This window comes from Homo sapiens, chromosome 1, assembly GCF_000001405.40.
Source record: "Homo sapiens chromosome 1, GRCh38.p14 Primary Assembly".
NCBI classification, from domain to species: Eukaryota; Metazoa; Chordata; class Mammalia; order Primates; family Hominidae; genus Homo; species Homo sapiens.
Window position 1 is genome coordinate 112,265,327 of NC_000001.11, and position 22,451 is coordinate 112,287,777.

Here is a 22,451-nt window from a genome sequence, read left to right on the forward strand (position 1 = left end):
GGTGATCTAATACAATTCTGCAACTATTCAGTGATGTGACTGACCTTAGACAAGTCGGGTCCCTCCTTGCACCTTCATTTCTTCAGCTGTTTGAGGAACTATCTGACTGCATGACGTAGTCTCTTTGCAGCTCTGACATTTATCAACTCTAAGCAACAGGGGCCACAAAGAACAAGATCAACGGGTGGAGAAATGTGCCAATGAGAGAGGGACAGATTTATGGGGTGGCCAAACGAGGCCTGAGAGGGATTGATGGCAACAGTGTGGCCATGATGTCTAGTTGTCCCAGTAGCTTCTCTTCTCCTCTTCCATAATAACAGCTGGCTACCCAGAGTAAAGGCTATATATCCCAACTTAATTTAATGTATTTGACTAAGTGCTGGCCTAACAGACATAAACAAAAGTAATACATAGCAGCTTCTAAGACCCTGTCTTATAAGACAGCTCATGGTCATCCTTTGCTCCCCTTTCTTCTTTAGTCCTTCCTCCATCCTGCTGCCTGGAATGTGGATGTGATGGCTAGGGCACTAGCCTCCCTCTTGGTCTATTAGGATGAGAACTACAGGAAGCTGGAAAGATCCTGCATCCAGGAAGACTTCACAGAACAGAACTTCCCTTCCAGTTCAAAACCAGATGCCTCTGGACTTTTCCTGAGGAAGAGATAAACTTTCTTGTTTAAGCCACAGTTATTTGGGGTGTCTGTTACTTAAAGCACAACTTAATCCTAAATGATTCAAAGGGAGTTCTAAGGTTGAGGAGGAATTACCAAGAAGCCCAGACAGTCAGATGGTGGAAGGTGACTGGTGGTTGTGGGTAATAGACCGCAGATTACAAGAAACAGGGAAAGATTTGGCAACAAGGGCAGTGTAATCTCCTAGTTTCTTCACCACCAGAACCAGTCTCAGACATCTGTGAGCAGTTTACAAGGCCCATCTTTAAAGCCTGTCTCCAGTAAATCTCTTTTTGTCCAGCCCAGCACCTCAAGGACCTCCTGTCCTCAAAGCTCCTGGGGCACTCTATATTACTTATTTGGCACTTGCCAACATGCCTGATACTGTCTTTTTTAGTGTTTCCAACTTGCAATCCCAGCTAGATTATATGCTCCTTGAGAAAAGAGATTTTTCTTGCTTTTCCCCCAGACATAATGAAGACATCTCAGGTTTTCTGGGCAAACTAGATTTCAAATATTCTGTCCTGGTGCTCCCTAAATTTAAAAAATGTTAGTGTTTAAACTACATCTGCAAAACAATCTTTTTTAATGTAAGACCAGAACAAAAATCCCAATCTGGGACTCAGAAAATCTGATTCCCATATTCACAGACCTACCTAGATGCTCAGTTAAAAAAAAAAAATCATTGATATTTTTTTCCCTTGATGGATTGAAAGTGTCTTGATAGGGGCCCAAGGGCATCTAAGTGGAGAGAATGATGTACAGGAATAGGGAAGGTGATGAAGCATGACAGGTGGAGGGAATGTGATTGACAGGGTATCATCAGGACTGGGAGAAGATGCTGGGCCTAGACAGTGACCAATGGGCCATCACACAGGGAGAATAGCAGCTTTCCTGCTAATGCATAAAGCCTGTGCCGGGTGTCTGGGGCCTTGCTTAGTGGGAAACTGGGAAAGGTCTTTTTTTAAGTGATAAAATTCAATGGCCAGACTTCCTGTTAAAGGTAGTGAACTGAAGACACACATCTAATTTCTCTCCCTCCCCAAATCTCACTAAAATTACAGCAAAGGGATTGTTTACAAAGGTGTAAACCCACAAGGACAAGACAAAATGGGAAAGGAGAAAATAGCAATAAAATTTTGGAAGCTGCAAAGTGGATAGGCAAAGGATAATGAACTTGACAGATTTGAGAAATCTATGTGAGGAAAGCTAAAAGTCAACCTGATGTATACCACAGAATCCTCAAAATGCCCTGGCATTGGCAGCACAAAATATTTCTGGAAGTAGAAGTGAAAAGAAGTTGTCAAAATAAGGAGAACAGGTAGAAAGCTGTTTCAGCAGCAGCAGCTCTCAAGCCTCCTCCATTCCAGCACCAGGCAGCGCCCATCCCCTATGCTGGCAAGAGACTGCAAGTTTACTGTCTGCAGAGGGTGAACCTGGGGGCTCCCAGGTGCCATTGTGGCAGGTTCACTCTACCAGAACAGGGAGGTCAAACTCTGGAATTCCAGGTGCTTTTCCAACATTACAAGACATTGAAAAAGAGCTCATGTGAAAAACAGAAAATAGAGACCAAAAGAAACAGAAAAAAGCAACTAAAAAAGTCTGAAGCTATGAAGAAGACCACTTTATAACTAGGCCTCATTAGAAAGTGCCAGCAGTTCACATCCTTGGCTCCACTGGCCCTTCACTTGCCTCTCTGTGCCTGGGAAGACCAACAGCACACAGCCATGAATGTCAGTTTGAGGGGCCTTACACCATGTCTGTCCAATAGTTCTCACACTTACCTCTGGGAAGCCTGGGCTTCCAAGAGCCGTTCAAGGGCCATGGTAAGGGGAGGAGAGAGACTGAGCAGGCAGGACTCCAGCTCCTGTCCTGCTTCAACCAATATGCTTTTTTTTTGACTGGTTTTAAAATCAGAGTTTTTTGTAAATTCTTGTTTAAAAGGTAGTTCTCTTGTTTTTTAAAAAATTATTTTAAATGCTGTAAGTGACAGATCAAATTCAGGCCCTATTTTTGGAGATGAGGAGACCTAGGAGCTTGTTATGAGTCAGGCTCCTGCCCAGAGCTAATGCTGGCTGTGCAGTGGCCCCAGCAGATGCTGGGCCTGTCAGACAGCCAAGCAAAGTCCCTGGGCCAAGGCCATGAGCCCTCTCTCCCTAGAGACCAATGACCCTTCAGCCTGGAGGCTGGCCTCCTGCTGTCCTCTTCCTCCTGTTGATGCTCTAGGGAAGTCCCCCCAGCCCTGAGGCCTGACAGCCCTGCTGCTCTGCCCTCTCTGCCAGAGATACTCCCCAGCACCCCTGACAAAACCTGAGCCTGGCTGGTGCTGGAATATAAGACACTGGACATACCGGTTTTCCTGAAAAGGCAGAGAAAGGAAAGCCAAGGTCACACAGAAATGTTCTCCTTTCTAATAGGTTTGAGTCCCTGACACCGTCTGTGTCTTCACTGGACTCATGCCCCAGGACATATGGATTCCCCTCCCCTCTTCCACCTTCCCGATCTTCTTTCTTCCCCCCATTTTGAGAGCCCTCTAGAGACTGGGTGATACTGCTTGTTGGCTCTCCCTGAGGGATAATGCAAACTCAGCAACCCTTATCTTCACAATTCAGTCCAAGAACTGACTCAGCAGAGGATGCCTGTGACATGCTTGCAGAAACTGGAGTAATTTTTGACATGCTTGTAGAAACTGGAGTAATTGGCCATACTGTCACCCAGTCCCATCCTCCCCCAGCAGGCTTTGAGTACAGGGAGGGCAAATTTGTTGGTTAAATGATGTCTGTTTGGCATCATCGCCCAAGCCTCACACAACCCTGCAGAGATACAGGGGTATTTGATGATAAGACAGACACTTGGCTTGCTGCCCTCTGATGTACTCTCCACCTCAGGTCAGCAATAAAGTTTTTGGATCCCCTGCCTTGTTTCTGCCTTCTGGAAAAGAAAAAACAATACATGTACTGTTTAAGTCATTCTACAACTAGAACGTAAGCTCCTTGAGGGTCCGTTTTTTGTGTGTGTTTTGTTCATAGCTATATCCCCAGTGCCTAAGATAGAGCCTGGCATAAAGGGGTATTCAATATACATAGATGAGTTGAATGAACCAATCTTTCTGCTATGGTTTGAATGTATGTGTCCCTCCAAAGTCCATATTTTGGAATCTAATACCCAATTGACAGTATTAATAGGTTGGGTGTTTAAAAGGTGATTAAGTCATGAAGGGGAGTCCTCAGAAATTAGATTGATGCCCTTATAGAAGACATTAAAGGGAGCACCCTACTTCCTTTTTGCCCCTTCTGCCATGTGAGAGGAACAACAAGAAGGCACACGCCCTCATCAGACACTAAATCTGCTGGAGCCTTGATCTTGGACTTTGCAGCCTCCAGAACTGAGAGAAATAAATGTCTTTTCTTTTCTTTTCACCAAGTATATTCCCAGACTTTAAGAAGAGAGAAATAAATTTCCTTTATTTATAAATTACCCAATTTGTGGTATTTTGTTAAAGCAGCAGGAATAAACTAAGACACTTTTTCTCTCTCACTCTCTCTTCCTGAAAGCCTTCCCCATAAAAGTCCTGGCCCACTCTCAGAGTGAAGTCCAAGTCATGGAGCAGGACACTTAAAGGACAGAGAATCCTGCCATCTAAGTGGAGCAGGGAAGGAGAGAAGAGAGCGGTCCCCAAGATCCCTCCATGCTCTGTGATTAATGACTCCACCAAAGCAGCTCCCTTTAAGTTCCAGGACCATTTGCTAAGGGTGAATGACAATATGGTAATTTAGAAAGAAAATAAAATGATCAGAACCTTCAAGAGAGTTCCAGAGGGAGCTGAAGCAGGAGAATCCAAGCCTACCTCATAAATCAACCTCAGCTTCAGAGTATGTGGCCTCCGAACTGGAATCTGCCATGGTCTCCACAGATCCCTGCTATTCTCACTTGCTTTACCAAGTAGCTGAGCACTGTGACATTAACCTCCAATATGCCAGCAGAAGTCTGTGAGGACACAGAGGTAGTGGTGGCTGTTAGCAGGGAGGGGCACTGGGTCTTCCTAGCCACCTTCTCCCAGTCCCCATCACATGAGTTGGCTTGCTCAGGAGGCAGTTCTCAGCATCACCTCTGCCCAACCACACTGGCAGAGCTCCTCGTGCACCCCACTCAAGCCCTTGGATCTATGCTGCATGGGAAGGTACACAACATCACCTGGGCAGAGAGAGTCCATGCAGTCCATGGAGCACCCTGCAGGTAGCTCTTACCACCTCACCTGACCATATGCTCAGAAAGTTGTCTGAGTACCACTTTTCCTTTCCATTCTTTCATTTAAACATTTTTTTAAAAAATAAAATAGTTCAATTCTGTCAAATTCCTAAGGTTTGCCTTGCAGTAACAACAACAAAAAGTTAGCCCAATGAGGACAAAAGACAGTATTTCTTATACCCAAGCAATCCAGATCATTTGGTGGTTGGCAAGGAATTGGGGGAGGTTGGGAGGGAGTGGGCTGAAATGGGGCAGGGGAGCAGCAGTGGACACAAAGCAGAGTGAGAGACAGCCACCTGGACCATATCTTCCAGGAAGAGATCTGCAGTGTTTCAGAAGCAGCATAGGAAGCCTGTGCTCCTTCACATCTTCCATCTCCCCAGTAAAACCAGTAAGTCACCTTCCCATGCCCCAACCAGATGCTCCTAAGGTGTGAAGATTTTCTATGTTGTGAGTATGGATGATCCTGGAAAGAGCCTTACCTTTAACTGGGACCAGCCAACACCAAGATTGTCAGTTAACACTTAAGAAGAAATGTGTTAACAGTCAGCAGCTAAGCACAGAGGACAGAGATGACATCAGAAGAAAATAAATGCATACAGGTAAGGGGTGTGAAAGATCCACCAGGGGCAAGCTGTCCCTCTTCAGAAGTCTGGCAGCACCTAATGTGTCACCTTTGGAGGATGCCATGGTTTCATTCCATCCATTCTCTACACACATTTACTAGTGTCTGCTATACACCAGGTGCTTTACTGAGCATTAGAAAGAAGGAGATGCGAAGATCTGTCATTACCCTCAGAAAGCCATGATCAAGGAGGGAGGAGCACCAATGTAAACCACTAACTAAATAATAGAACAAAGTCAGTGCCAAAGGCTGTGAGAACAAGGAATGAAGAAATGATGAATTTTTAATGAAGTTTCAAATAACTTCACCATGGAGGTAGCATTTGAGGTGAAACTTGAGAGAAAAGAAAGTTTTACAGGATATTATGGGCTGAGAACTGGGGAGCAAAGGGGCATTCAAAATGGTATGTTGGTTTCCTGGGGCTGCTGTAATAAATTATGTCAAGCCGCATGGCTTAAGACAACAGAAATTTATTTTCTCACATTTTAGGAGGCCAAAATCCAAAATCATGGTGTCAGTAGAGTTGATTTCTTCTGAAGGATAGGAGGAAGAACTGTCTCATGCCTCTCTCCTGGCTTCTGGTGGTTGCTGGCAGTCCTTGATGTTCCCTGGCTTGTAGATGCATCATCACTCCAATCTCCGCCTCCGTCTTCTCATCATTGTCATCACCTTCTCTGTGTGTCTCTCTGTGTCCTCTCCTCTTCTTAGAAAGATGTATCTTTTGATTAGTTCCACCCTAAATCCAGGATGATTTCATATTAAGATCCTGAACTAATTACATCTGCAAAGATCCTATTTCCAAATAAGGTCACAGCCAGAGGTTCTGGGTGGGTATGAATTTTGGAGGGACACATTTAACCTACTGCAGGTGGTAAGTAGATGCAGAAGAAATGGCTTGGCTTCTCATGAGGCATGTCATATTCAATTACATAAATGTTTGCTTCACCCATTTAGGAAACGTGGATCTGTTTCTAGATCCTGGCTGGACAAGGGCTGAAAGGTAGTAGTAATTCAGACCCTGAATCCCAATGTCCATCTTTTGATTGAGCTTGTAGATGCCACCTTCAGGTGAAGGAAAGGGCAAGGTCAAAGCTCCAGGCAAGCCAGTGAATGAAAACTCCTCTTAAAGTCCTCAGTTTTCTGTTCATTCAAAGTTCAGGCTTCAATTTTTAACATTTTTAGAGTTTGCTAAGAAAACAAGTGATGCTTTCTCAAGTCTCTTCCCTCCCCTCTTCTCTCCTTACAACTGGGTACAGCGTGTTCTGAACAGAGAGGAGGCTTCAGTGAGGTATGAAATGAAACAAATCCGCAGGCAAACAGCAAAGAAAGCTGGTGTATTTTTAATATGCAGGCACCATTTTGGGGATTGTAGAGAAAATTTTGCCTCTTCATATTGAAAACCCAATGCGCCGGAAAGGGAGCCAGAGGTGGGGGAGGAACTATACAGCTCTCTCCCTTCAGCACAGCCACTTCTTAAAGAAGCAATTGATTAAAGAGAAAGTGTGGGGAACCAACTGTTCACACTTGCCAAATATTTCTAAAGGCTTCAAAATCACTCAAGGTGGTGAATTTTTTTTTCCCATAAAGTGTCTACAAAATCTGTCACCTCGACACCCAGTGTTTAAACAGGGCAGTGTCTTGAAAAATGACTTTGTTCTCTAGATCACTCACGGTGCTGGCCTGACACTGTTTCTATTTTCTGCTTCAGTGTGAAACCTGCTGCAAACAGCTGCACAAGAGCTCAACTCAACAACTGCCAGAAGCCAGGAAGAGTAGCCTTCACCCCCTCAGGCTGTCACTTTGGGCACCCCCTCTGTCCCCCATCCCCTGGTGCTCTATGACTAGAAGCAGTCCAAGGGCACATTGCCTCTTAGTTGGAACAATGTGAGCTAGAATTGTCTACTCCACAGAAGCCAAAGGGGAGTGGTAGAGCCTCAGAAGAACCGATCTGGGAGCAACTTGAGTGACCATCTAGTTTACACCCTTCTTTCTAGGGAGGAGGAAACTGAGGAACAGAGAAGGCAATAACTTGCTCAAGGGCTAATGGGCATCTACCATTTGTTTTGGCTGTTCAGCAACTTAACTCCTGCCTTTGGGCAATTCCCCACCTTAGGAGCCTTCGTGGGGAACCCATCTCCCACTATGGAAGCCAGAAATGCCAGGTATTCACTTTCCATGCTATTTTTTTCTCCAGGGCAAAGACATTGGACATAACCTCTTGCCAACCAGACACTCCTGTCCCATGTTGTGACTGGTAGATGGTAACTCAATGAAAAGGCAATAGAGGAAGATTTTATCTCAAGGGTCATGATTTTTGGATGCTGTTCCTTCCTGGTTCAGTAAGCTACCCAATATCCTTTTAATCAATCTTTTATTTTTCTCCACAGTCGATTTATGTTGCTTGCAAATAAAAACCTTGGCTAATGCCAAAATATTACCAAGAGTTGGGTAGAAACAGACCCTCCAGAAATTAACAGGAATCCGAGATGGTTTGTTTCACATGCTTAGGGCTACACACAGTAAAAATTCAGCTTGGAGTAAAATATGGGACTCTGCCACAACACGGTAAATAGTGGCATACCATTAGGTTTCTACCTGTAGTCATCTGGAATTAAATACCTATTAAAGTCAAGGTTTAGGGTATGAAACAGTTGCCACCATACAACAATATTAAAAGCATGAAAAAATCAAGGACTATAGGATAAACTGCTTTCTTCCAATAGTGCTAGGTGGATTTTTTAAAACAAAGAATAAAAACACACAAATTCTTAAGTTCTCAAGTCAAGACACAAAATAAAAACCACAGATTTTCTACCTGTTGCTTGAAGAATCTCTTTTGTCTTACAGCCACAACCCTGAAATAGACAAAAATCAGACACAAAGTTTGATCCTACAGGTTGCTGAATTAGAAGATTAGTTTTGTTTTTGTTGTTTTTGTTTTTGTTTTTGTTTTTGTTTTTGTTTTTGTTTTTTGAGATAGAGTCTCCTCTGTTTCCCAGGCTGGAGTACAGTGGTGCAATCTTGGCTCACTGCAACCTCCGCCTCTTGGGTTCAAGCAATTCTCCTGCCTCAGCCTCCTGAGTAGCTGGGATTACAGGCACACACCACCACACCTGGCTAATTTTTGTAGTTTTAGTAGAAATGTGGTTTCATCATGCTGGCCAAGCTGGTCTCAAGCTCCTGACCGCCAGTGATCTGCCTGCCCCAAAGTGCTGGAATTATAGGCATGAGCCACCACATCCAGCCTAGAAGATTCGTTTAACATGTAGCCTTCCAAATTTTTGCTTAGGTGAAAATTAGAGCATAGAACGGGAAAGAGGTAGACCTAAGAATTGGAACAGAGATTTACGAGAGGATTCGGATGACTCAGGGCATGAATTTCTAGACTTTATTGATTCCTATCTCTCTTGTTAGCCAAATCAACTCCTCTTCCCTTCCTATGCAAGTATTCCCATCTCGCCTAAAAATCCTGCAATGATCTAACCTGAGGGTATTATCTTGCAAAGGGAAGTTCATTCTCTTCATGTTCCACCTGCTCTACTCCTCATTGTCTCCTGTAACTAGGGTTAGATCTCAACATGTTCCTGGGAGTAGAGTGGGGTAGAGGATGAAGCTCATCCATATACAATATCTTAAGGGAAAACTTACAGACAAAAGTTTATGACTCTGATCATTGTATTAGTAGAGACCTGAGAAATATGTGAGGGAGTAGATTCTGAGGGTATTAGACCAACAAGGGAAAAGCATACTTTTAGATTAAGTTGAGTTTATTGATATGCTGATATGTGCAGTAATTCTGTATTTGATGCACTAGCTTGAGCATCTAGTTATTTTAATTGTTTGCTGGGTGAGTTGACAAAAACCTGGACTCATTAGTGCTCCATGGTACAGTACATTAGTGCTCCAATGAGCCAAGATGCCAGAAATTACAAGCTATAATTTAGAGAAAGTAAATTCAAAGACCTAGGGAGAGAGCAATGTTAGAGCGGATTTATTACAAGTGCTTCCCCACCTCCTGTATCTCCCAAGAGGACCCAAAACACACTACCTTCATTAAGGCAATGGTAAATACATTAGTGACAGTAGTGCCAACATCTTTATAAAAAGCATGGCTATTCTCTGTAAGCCAAGAATGCTAGTAGAAAGATGATATAGTTGGAAATGAGATGCACGATTTCAATTTGTCTGGGAAAAATCACAAAGTAGCACAGGCCTGGGAAGAGCAGTAATTATCAGAGCTTGGCTACCAGAAGAGGCAGCTGACCAGCCTGATAATCAGAATGGGCTGACTCTGTGAAAGTTAATTTTAGGCATCAACTTGACTAAGGAATACCTAGAAATCTGGTAAGACATTATTTTGGGGTGTGTCTGTGAGAGTATTTCCAGAGGAAGTTAGCACATGAGTCTAAGTGGATTATAGGTGGGGAAGATCTGCACTCAATTTGTGCAGGCACCAGCCAATCTGCTGGGGACACAGAACAAAAACAGGTGGGAAAAAAGGTGAATATGTCAATCTATCTACTGAAACCAGGATACACTCTTCCTCTCCTGGACTTGGACAAAAACTCCAGGCTCCCTGGCCTTTAGACTCCAGGACTTACATCAGCGACCTCCTGGGTTCTCAGGCCTTTGGTTTCATACTGAGAATGGTGAGAGTTACTGAGAGTTACAGCATTGGCTTCCTGGTTCTGAGGTCTTCAGATTTGGACTAAGCAACGCTACCAGAATCCCAGGGTCTTCAATTTACACATGGGCTGTCATAGAACTTCTCAGCCTCCATAATCATGTAAGTCAATTTCTCTAATAAATCCCTTCTCATATATCTATAGATATATCCTATTGGTTCTGTCTCTCCAGAGAACACTGACTAATACAAGCCCATACGGATCTTTGGCATGGCAGCTCATGGAGTCCCAAGAGTAAAAGAGATGGACATATAAGTAAAGTCTTTATTTTGATTTAACAGGCCTGATGAATAGAGTCCTGACTTGTGTCTTCATGACTGAGAGTTGCAGTTGATAGCAGACCTTGTTCACTTACCATCCAATAAACTACTCACCAATACTTTTTCCTCCTTTCTAACAGAAGTCCAGTTGAGACTTCCAGGAGAGAATTCCTTCCTCCAAAACACAGACTCTAAGGAAGGAATAGTCTCTCATATGTTGGACATAATTTAACTGCATGTGGTCCCCACAGCCAGGGTGGAAGCCCACTTGCAACCACAGAGGGAAGCAAACCAAGACACTGGGAAGGGCAGAGCAAAGAAATATAAGGAGCCCAGGTCCTCAGTGATATTTTTGAGCTTTTGAATTAACCAGCTCTTGTACATCTTAGTCTGCACGCATTTCTTTATGCAATGTACATTTTCTTTAATTTTCAAGCCAGTTGAGTCAAGATTTTCTGTTATTGAAGCTTAAAATGTCCTACTGATACTTGGCTCTTCATTCAATCCCTGTACCTCAGTTCATTCAGATTCAGTTCTCCATGTAGGAAGAGGAAGATGAGTACCCTTCAGTAAGAACCCTGCAATTACATGGCAGCTATACCTTTAATCTTTCTCCCAGAAGTCTCCCAAAGAGTCCTGCAGCCATTTACCAGAGTATCTATGTCCTGGGGGAAAGTAAATATCCAGTGTCTTCCTGAAAATATCAGATACTGGCTGTAAGAAAATAGCAAAATCTGAAGACTCAGAACACTACTGTGGTGTGAGCAGGTACTAATGAGAGACAAGCAATAAATGAGGGTTTACCTAAGTCCACCTCATGGTAGGCCCAATTGGACCACAAGCCCAATTAGTGGGTGGGGTCCAATGGTGGAGGTCATTCTTTCTAAAATAAGACAACTTTCTGTACCTCTTACAATGAAGAGAAATGGCATAACATTGCAAGGATCTCCTTGGGCTTTGGAGGTAATGTATACCATATTTTGTTTACTGATCCAGTTCATTTTCCCTGAAACCAGCAAGGTTAACAACTTTGAGCAAAATTCAGAGGTAAAGAGGGCTCTCCAACTGGTTCAGGCTGTAATATAAGCACCTCTTCACTTGGCCCTTGTGATCCATAAGATCCAATGACATTTGAAGTACTTTTGGCAGCTCAGGGTACTATATGGAGTATGAAGTAAGGTTGAATAGGAGAATCATAGAATAAGCCTCTTAAGGTTTTGGAGAAAGCCAGATCTTCTTCAGCAAGTTACTACTGCATACATATATCAAAATTGTCCCCCATAAATACATACAATTATTATATGTCAATTTAAAAATAATGATTTTAAAAGAAATAGCTGTTAGCTTGCTACTAGGCCCTGGCTGAGAGTGAATGAGTGATCATCAGACACTAGATAATCATGCATCCTGGACTACTCATCCTGAACAGGGTATTATCGATCCACCTACTTATAAAATCAGGCAGGCTTAGCAGCACATCATTATCTATGGAAATGATACAAGCAGGTCAGGCTTAAGTAAGTCCTAATGGTACAAGTGAATTTCATAAGCTTATATTCCCAGTATGCCTGTTCCTAATGTGTTGCTACTCCTCACTCAACCCATTTCCATGGCTGAGGTACTGTCTTGAAGAATGAAGTATATTCTTTGAATCATCAAAATGCTGTTTCTGTTGAACTCATGGAGATAGAGAGTAGAAGGGTGGTTATGAGTGGCTGGGAAGGGTAGTGGCAGGGGGTGGAGGGAAAGTGGGGATGCTTAATAGATACAAAAAAATACACAGAATGAATAAAACCTAGTATTTGGTAGCACAACAGGGTGAATATTGTCAATAATAATTTAATTGTATATTTAAAAATAGCTAAAAGAATATATATAATTGGATTGTTTCTAACACAAAGGATAAATGCTTGAGGGGATGGATACTCCACTTACCATGATGTGATTATTATGTATTGCATTCCTGTATCAAAGTATCTCATGTACCCCATAAATATATACACCTATGTACCTACAAAAATTAAAAATTAAAAACAATAATAATACTGTTTTTTAGCTAGCCAGAAATCATGACTCCAGAAACCAAAGGGTGAAAGTGGGATGATACATCTAACTGCTACACTAAATGATGCATTAGTAAAGCTTTGGCTTCCAATCCTTATAACTCTGGATATTGCAGGCTTAGAAATTTTAGCATCCAAGGAAGAAGGCTTCTACTAGGAAACACAACAACTAGTTCATTGAATTGCAAGCTGAGTCCAACCTAACCATTTATGGCTCCTATTCCCACTGAATGAATAGGCCCTCCCCCCAGAAAAGGATTACTGGAGCAATTGCTGTAGATCATCAAGGGGAAATAGGATTGCTGCAATACACTGGGGCCACAAAAGAGTATGGATTGAACACAAGGGATCTCCTAGGGTGACCTATCTCCACTTCCAGTGGTAATGGCTGATGGAAGACCATTGCAACCTCACATAGATAAAACTACTAAGAGATCAAATCCCTCTAAAATGAATGTTGCATCGACCCACCAATTGTAAAAACTAGAACTGAGTACTGAGTGAAAATAAAGGAAACATGGACAAGTTAATCAAGAAGGAAATCTTAAATATCAACTGTAGCGAAAATATATCTATATTTCAACTAAGTGAAAACAAGGACAGGAGTACCTATGTGAATTATTTTCTATGTTGTATTATATAAATGTTTATGTATTTCAACAAATGTTATGCTCCATTTTTTCCATTTGCCTCGTGTTTTCATGTAGGATATGTTCATTGTGATTAGGTTCACAATTTATTCTATAAATTACAGAATATTAATGCAAATACATGCCAGAGCTAGAGGATAAATAGATATCAACCACAGATCCTAAACTTGAAGCTAGATGCAGTATCTGATGAGAATCTAGAGAGAAGATGAGCTGGCTTTGATTAAGCAGGAGATAACTGAATTCTATTAGGAAGAAAATTTTTCTTTCAGAAATATGAATATGGAAAGAATGGGGTGCATTGATGATTTGGAAAATGGGTGGACTATAGAGAATGTCGGTCATTGTTTTTTGGCTCGCTTTCTACATTTGGAAAAATCACCATCTTACAAGTCTGCCTCCCATTATAACAGCTTGAAATGACAGATATTTACTTTCCTAGATTCCCTTGTAGCTAGGATGCAGACACTTGCCCTAGAGTTGTCCAATCAGAAGCTCCACCCTCGACACTGAATCAGAAGCTAGTGATGCAAAGAAGCAAGGATAGTAAAGGATTCTCTGTCACTCTGGCATCACAACCGAACACAGTTGAACTTGTGGCATAACCATGGAGGGATGCTGATGGCGGCAAATTTAGGAACATGTTTCTGTCTGAGTAGCTCTGATCATAGTATTTCAGCCGTTCTGATGATTCAATATCCTTTAGATAAATTACTATACAGATCAAATTAGCAAAAGCTGATCTTGTTTTGCTTAAGTCAAGAACTGTGATTGATACACAAAGTCACAGGGTAAGTTGGTGACTGTGCTCTCATGAATCAATTATCTATTGCTGCATAACGAACCATCCCAAAACTAGTGACTAAAAAACATTAACGATTTATTGTCCCTCATTATTCTGTGGATTAACTAGATGGTTCTTCCAGTCTTGCCTGAGCTCACTGTGGCTTCATTAACCTGATGGGTTGGCTGGGTCCCTCTCTCCATGTGTTCTTCCATCCTCAAGGGGACTAAATCAGGATTTTTCACAGCATGATGGTCTCAGGGTGCCCAGTGGATGAGACCTGATACTTCAGGGCCTTTTGAAATGAAAGCTTAGAAGCCAGATGTGCGAGTTCCACCACATTTTATTGGTCAAATCAAGTCACAAAGCTATCCCAGATTCAAGGGGAGGGAAAATTGACTCTATTTGTCTATGGGAGGAGACAAAATCTCATTGCAAAAAAGCATGCACACAAAGATGGGAGAAAATACTGGGGTCATCTTTGCAAATAATTTGTTACTTGTGGAATCATATAACTGAAACATACAGAATCCACCACATCAGTATCTAAGTGCTCCAACATTGTCAGAATTGTCTCTCTCTTTATCTCCACACTTGACTGGACAGTGACCAGCAGCTCTGACGGGGATGACAGGGCCCTTACTGACAATGACCGTGGAGTAGCTTCATCAAAACCTCATGGAAGAAGTTCCCCACAGGAAAGGAGGATTCTGTTTACTCAAAGGAGAAAGGGGTGCAGGAGAGACAGTGTCAGAGGCAAGCCTAGAATTCAGATGTCATGTCTCCTGGGCCTGGTCTCTTTCCACTCTAGTGGTTATCAATAACTGCTTCACATTTCCAGATGAAAAGAAAAAAATGGATGTGGGGAGTTAGTTTTCTTCATATCCTGGAAATTCTGCCCCAACTGTTTGGCATTGGAAGGATTTGCCCTCCTCTATTTAGGGGAGTGTTCCATCATAAGAGAACCTGGTTCCAAGAACCAACTTGGAAAATCAAGTTGGACCGGTGATGTGTTTCCCCCGGCAAGTCATTCATATCCTCCAGATAGTCTGTTTTCTCCTCTATACAGAAAGTCTATAGACTGGGCAATTGGAAGGAAGACACTCCCACCTGCATTACTTATATCAACATGGAGTTAGCCTCTTTAAACACTGAGACAAAGTTTGAGCATCTACACTTCTCCTCTCTGAACTCATGCTTTGGAGACAGGCAAATTTAGGTGTAATCCAACTCTCCATTTACTTGGTTTGATTACCTTAGGCAAGCCACTCCATCCCTCTGAGCCTCAGCACACTCAGCTGTAAGATGAGTTGACACTCCCTACCTCATAGGGGAATTGTGAGGATTAACTGAGGAAACGTATGCATATTGCCTATCACAGAGCATGTCACTGGCAGATATTTATTTGTTCCCTCTCCCTGTTACTGGAGCACAACCTCTGAACTTCCCATGCTGTCTACTTCAAACACACATTCAAATCTTTATCCGTTCTTGTCTCTTCCATTATTTATAGCATTTCCACCCTGCCTGCCCTCGGAAAGCTGCCCCTGAACAGATTCTGCCCCCATGACACATGTGCCCTGTATCCCCATCACCCTCACACTCTTAGCTTATGCTCTGTCCTCTCACACTCAGTGTCCCTCTTTCATTCCCTCTTTGTGGGTTCTGTGTTAATTCTTCCCCCTTGGAACCCACTATATAGCTCCCCCACACAACACAGAATGGAAGACAGAAGAGGAGGGAGAGGATGAGCTCCTCCAGTCTCCATGGAGACAGTGCCCTGGATGCAGGAAGAGCCCTTGGACTCTTAGGTGCAGCTGCAGCCTGCACAATAGACCATCCCCATACCTCTCAGACTTTAGTTGTCTCAAATGTCTCACAAAAACTCCAGGCAGTGAAAGGCGATCTTCTGCCTACTTCTCAACAAGGCTTTATTCCATGTTGTATTACATAAATAGTGCCTCCAGATGCTTCCTTTGAGCTGAGCTTTCCCCAGCCAGTGGGTAATCTTAGCCTCCATTAAATTATGCTGCTGATCCCTCTGTAGCCATGTTAATTAAATACAAAAGTTGTCATCACGTTCTGAACCTGGCCTCCTTCACAGGCACTGTGGACCAAGAGCTCTTCCCATGTGCCAGCAGGCTTTGTCCTGTCCTATTTAAATCATTTTAACTGCACATTGGTCAGAGCCCAGACAAGACTCATTCCATCCTTCCCTGTCCAAGGCAGAGATGGTCTCTCTATGCCCTTCCAACATCACTTTCTCAGGAAGAGTTGATGAAATGATGAGCATACACCCAGTAATACACAAAGGATTCATTCATTCGCTCATCAACAAAGGCTTTTTGAGTAAGACTTCCTATATGCCAGGTACCTTTATTAGTGCTGTGAACATAGCAGTGAACAAAAGAGACCAAGTCCCTACTGTCATAAAAATAACATTCCAGTGTGGTCTTAGTTAAGACCAGTGGTTTTTCAACCTTGGCTGTACATTAGAAATATCTGGGGAGTTTTAGAAAGCCCAATACTCAAGAGGTTGTATTAAATAAGAATTTCTAGTAGTTTTTAAAGGTTTCCAAATTATTTCTATGTGAGACTGTAAATATTTCCTTTGATCACTCCACCTTGTCCACTACTAAAAGAAAAAAAAATCATCTCTCTCTAAAGAACACTCTCTAAGAAGGAGACACAACCATTGCCCTTGGAGTTGTAAGGTTGGTATTTCAAGTTCTGAAGAAGCCTTCCCTCAAAAGAAAGGAAGAGCTTGATAGGTTCAGCTCCTCTCTCATCTGAAGCACCTGTTGGCGTCCAGAAGCAGGTAAAGGGGCTGACCTGGAACAGGTCACATCATCCCTGCATGACCAGGATCTCCAGGTCATCTTGGACCACTACTGTTACCACCCTGTTCCTACAAAATTGCCCAGAGAACAAGCTTCCAAGCTGACAAATGGGCTATCCCAGCAGTCGCCATCCTTTTTGGCACCAAGTGACTGGTTTTGAGGAAGGCAATGTTTCCACAGACAGCGGGGGCCAGCTGGAGGATGGTTCAGGATAAAACTGTTCCACCTTAGATCATCAGGCATTAGATTCTCATAAGGAGCACAGCCTAGATCCCTCACATGCGCAGTTCACAGTAGGGTTCCTGCTCCTATGAGAATCTAATGTCACAGCTGATCTGACAGGAGGTGGAGCTCAGAGAGTGATGCTCGCTTGCCCATCGCTCACCCCCTGCTGGTTCCTAACAGGCTCCTAGCTGGTCCCAGTTCCTAACAGGCCATGGACTGGCATGGGTCTGTGGCCCAGGGATTGGAGACCCCTGGGCTAACCCCACTAGTTCACTTCTTTTCTCTTCTGTATTCAGACACGATGAGGGGCCTTCAGCTAAGAGCAAACTTGTCCTCAGGGCCAGTCAGGGCCTGGGGCCAGGAGATCCTTAAATTGGTGACAAAAGCCTAAGGAGCTCTTCCTTAGAATCAGGTGGCTCCCTTTGCTCAGCAAAGCCTAGGTCTGATTCCTAGACCAAGAGCTCCTCATCCAAGGAAAAATGCTTCATAGAAGGGAGGGAGGTGCAAGGGTTGTTCCTTCCCCCTGGGGCTGTCTTGAAACCAACTCTGACCTTTGAGGGGGTGACAACAAGAGAGAAAGCTGTCTCTGGATCCCAGCATACTCAGTACTCCCAATAGAAAGTAGAGGTGTGAGAGTCAACGTAACTAATGGCTCAACTGGGCTTCAAGAGCTCTTGGTTCTAGTGTCAGTCCTGTCACCAATTAGCTGCTTAACCTTGGGAAAGTCTCATCCTCTCTCTGGGGGCATCTTCCTTTTCTGTAAAGTTAAGATAGTCTAAAGGTATCTGAGATGCCTTCTAGATTTGGTTGTCTATGAGTCTAGGATTCTAAGAGGATGAGAGCAATTGCCCACCCAACTGGCCAAGAGCACCCGGGGGATAAATAAGAGGCTGGAGGGGTCGGGCACGGTGGCTCACGCCTGTAATCTCAGCACTCTGGGAGGCAAGGTGGGTGGATCACCTGAGGTCAGGAGTTTGAGAGCAGCCTGGCCAACATGGTGAAACCCCATCTCTACTAAAAATACAAAATTAGCTGGTTGTGGTGGCACGCATCTGTAATCCCAGCTACTGGGGAGGCTGAGGCAGGAGAATCGCTTGAACCCAGGAGGCAGAAGTTGCAGTGAGCCGAGATCACACCATTGCACTCCAGCATGGGCAAAAAGAGTGAAACTCTGTCTCAAAAAAAAAAAAAAAAAAAAAAAGGCTGGAGGATGCCCTTCCCAGGTGGAGTGAGTAAAGATGTTGATTCAAGGTCAGATTCCTCACTCTCCAGACCAGGGAGTATTAAGCCATTTGCCTGGTGAGCAAGTGAAGAGGGGTGAGTGGCTGCGGACTCATTTGCCATTTTCATGTACCTGCAAAGACATGGCAGAGCATGCCCTCAGACCCTGGGAATTCTTTCCTGGGCCTGGAGACAGAGTGAAGCAGTGAAGGACCCCAAAGGCCCCAAAGCCAAGTTTGATTCCTATTTAAAGTTGTCAGAACAACAGGCTGAATTCTGAGTGGTCTTGGTCTCAGGGGGCGTAAGGCTCCTCCTGGCTGCCTAAGGAAATTATTCATTCGGATAAACCCAAATTAGACTACAAAAAGTAATAGCACATTTCTCTTTGTCTTCCTGATGTCTGGAGAGTTTCTCCACTGCCCCACCCTTCCACACGTACCTTCCTCCCTCTCCCTTCAACCCCCTCAAGTTACAAGCCTAGAAAATTCTCAGACCTCTGCCATCTCCAGAGTTTGTCAGAGACATTGGATAATCCACTGAAGTCCAGTAGTGCTAGAGCTGGTTGTGTGAGATCCATTAATAGGCATGGTTGTCATGGAAAAAAAGAAACCCACGGGCCTTGCAAATAAAGGCGATTGCTCTAGACCTAAAAAGATTCAGTGCAGACATTAGGAAACCTTCTCTGACTTCCTACCTGCCAGCTGCACCTACTCTTGGTGAAGTGTCCTCCCTTCCTAGTTGCACTCTTGAAAAAAAGAAAAGAAAAAGGAAGGGGGGAAAGGAGGCTGATTATAGGATTCACAGAGATTTTTCATTGGCCATATCCACCACCCTCCTATTCCCTGCCCATGCCTGATTGGTGAAAGGGTAGAGACACCTGACCCAATCTGGGCCAATCAGGTTCTTCATCCTAGAAAGCAGAAGACATGAGTACAGTCACACAGAGTCTAGACAGTCAGAGCTTACAACATTCATTGTCTTAGAGACAAAATCCAAGAGGACTTACCAGTAGTGGTGACCCTGGCACTGCCTGGTTATTCAGGTTTCCCATTGAAACTGTGAACAAACATGATGTCCTTCATCTTGACCTAGCTGGAATCAATTCAATTGTTTACCTCTAAAGAAACCTAACTGGTAAAAGCTCTAAGCCCCCATTCCTTCTCCCACTCAGTACATACACATTATTGCAATCATTACTTTCTCTTTGTCCAACTCTTTCCCTAGACCAGAAACTCTTTTATGTCCTGACCATAGATTGGTCTTGCCTTCACCTGCCACCCACTCTTCACGTGGCTGACTCTCACTCTTCCTTCAGATCCCTCGTGAGACATCAGGAGCCTTCCCTGACCACCTCCTGCATTCCTTGCCTGGGTTAAGTGCCCCCCTGGAATGTGTTCCCATTGCACCAGGCACTTCCCTGTGGTAATGTGTTATGTAGTTATCTATCTCCCACAAGACTGTAACTCCTTGAGTCAGGAGCTGTAGCCTATCTGATGTTCTATCTTCAGCACAAGTACAGTGCCTAGGACTTGGTAAGCACTCAGTAAATATTTATGAAATGAATAAATGAATAAAGACATATACTGATCTTCTCCCTCCTTCTAACAGTAAAATAATAGAAATTAATTACCTGGTTCAAATTATTATTCATCTCAGAATACAATCAGTCAGTCAACAAATTAGTAGTAATTGATGTGCCAAAAACTATATTAAGCACTATACAACTGCTATAAAGATGCAAATATAGACAAATAGGGGAGGAGAAGATTGTCTCATGAAAATCTAATATAATCTGTAACTAGGAACTCTAACTTCCATTTTGCCTGTTCTGAAGCAATCTATGCCTCCATGTTCTGTATCTTGAAGCTGGACATGTAGGAATTACCATCAATGATTTATTGGGTTTGCAACAGGCTCGTGAATCACTGGACAGAAATTTCCAGAATAGTGCTAGGTTCAAATGAGGTAAAAACCTTTGAGCAAAATTCCACATCCAGACTGGTTAATGCTTTGGGCCCCGAATCACTTCATTTCTGCCTCCTGCCGGGCTCAGAAGAACCACTGTACAAGATTGTGGGCTGAAAGGCTCCAGGACAGGCGGACAGGAGAGGGGTCTCTGAACCTTTGTTTCCAAAGGAGCCTGTCCCTGTGTCCCTGCTAATCTGGCAGATGTTGAATTGAGAGAGGGACCTCTCCCGCTGCCCCCAGGCTAGCAATTACAGAAACCAAATTGTCTCCTGCAAGAGGCATTGTCACCCTGGTGTCATTTCAGCATAAAATAAATTGCACTGCCCATCAGCCTGATGGAGGCCAGCACTTGCTGGCAGCTCCCACAGGCCCCCAGAAAGAGCCTACTCAGATGTGAAGACAAGTCAGCCAGCTGCAGCCAGCACTGAAAGTAACCCAGGGAGCATGATTCTGTCACGCAAGAACCCAGCATGTCTAAAAGGGCACAGTTTCAGCCTGGCACTGTCGACAGCTCTGCCAGGCTGATCTCCTATTTGTCAAGTCCCAGCAGAAATCAGGATAAACACAAAAACAAACAAAAAAAAAGAAATCAGGATAAACAATTCAGAGAGCTACAGGGTAACCATGCCATAAATGTGCAGTCTGTTATTCTAGATGTGTGTTTGCATGCACGTGGAGTGGTATGTGTGTGTGTGTGTGTGTGTGTGTGTGTGTGTGTGTGAGTCTCTGACACTGCCTAGTTCCAGTCTTCATCACCTCCTGCCTAGACTGTTTCGATAACCTCCTAATGGGTCTTCTGACTCCATTCCTGACTCCATGTTCTCACTCCTCATCAGTCCTCTCCCATGTCTTAAAATTCGTATTTCACCATCATTCTGAGCAAACTATCGCAAGGACAGAAAACCAAACACCGCATGTTCTCACTCATAGGTGGGAATTGAACAATAAGAACACTTGGACACAGGGCAGAGAACATCACACACCGGAGCCTGTCATGGGGTGGGGGGTTGGGGGAGGGATAGCATTAGGAGAAATACCTAATATAAATGATGGGTTAATGGGTACAGCAAACCAACACAACACATGTATACATATGCAACAAACTGGCACGTTGTGCACATGTACCCTAGAACTTAAAGTATAATAAAAAAAATTCATGTTTCAAAATCATAGATCTAATTATGTTAAACCATGGGAAACAAAGTCTAGTATTCACCACCATCCTTGGCCCCAAATTATCTTGTCAAATGCATGTCAAACTTTCTGGCACCCTGTACTCCGGCCAAACTGGACACATCTCTGCTGTAACATGCACCCCCATTTCAAATATTTAGATCATATTGGAACTTTAAGATCCAGACCAAATATCCTCTCCTTCATGACACTCTCCCTTTTACCTTCACTCTGCCACTCCAGAAGCTGGAAGCTAATTCTTCTCCCCTCCAAAAAATAAAAAACAACCAGCATATATTGAGTGCCTGTTATGTGCTTTACACTTTATGCACATCATGTCAACACTATTATTATCCTCATTCTATAGATGAAAATGCTGAGAGTTAGAGGGTTTGCCTAGAACCACAGAACTCCTAAATTGCATAGCCAGAACTCGAACCCAGAACTACTGGCTCCACAATTTATGCCCTTAATTACTATGCAGCACTCTCTTTTAAGCTCTAAGGGGTAAGTAGGGTGGATTACCTGTAATTTCCATCACCATCCTAAATAAATTTATAATCTAAGCAGTGATCAATTTATTTTTATGCCAATAAAGCTTTAAATGTCAAGGATCCTCATTCCAGAGACCCCTTCTAAGATTCCAGGAGAGGCACCTGGCAATGTATTCAAAGATTCTTATGACGTTTTTGTAAAACTTTCTAAAGTAATATATTTTAACCAGAGTTTGTTAAAGCAGTTAGTCTGTTTCCATCTCAACCTCCCTTCATCATGCTTCCCTTCATGTCAGTGGTGCCCGAGTGTCCATGGGTGTTTAGCTAATAGGGATCTAGCTAATAGGAAGCTGAATTGGGAAAGCTGTTAATTGGGCTTGTTATATTTCATTTGGAGTATAGTTAAGTTATTGCTAGCTGTCTCAATGTAGAAATGACTCTGGGAGTACACTTACTACCAACTGTGCCAACTTACTTGGCATCATGACATAAAGGTGCAGGGCCAGAGGTTGTATTGCACTGTGAACATGCCCATGGAAACATTC

The 22,451-nt window shown here is 43.4% G+C and overlaps 1 long non-coding RNA gene across 2 annotated transcripts in view, besides 1 other annotated feature; it reads right to left on the bottom strand.

Annotated features, from left to right (window-relative positions):
• The window catches only part of LINC02884 (long intergenic non-protein coding RNA 2884), a 130,935-nt gene that overhangs the window by 35,654 nt on the left and 72,830 nt on the right, over positions 1-22,451 (bottom strand). The window lies entirely within an intron of this gene.
• Positions 2,888-2,947: an enhancer, noted in NCBI's record as "active region_1511". NCBI's record gives its function as "activates an Ori minimal core promoter by ATAC-STARR-seq in GM12878 lymphoblastoid cells {active_cell/tissue: GM12878}" and the evidence as "EXISTENCE:reporter gene assay evidence [ECO:0000049][PMID:35858748]".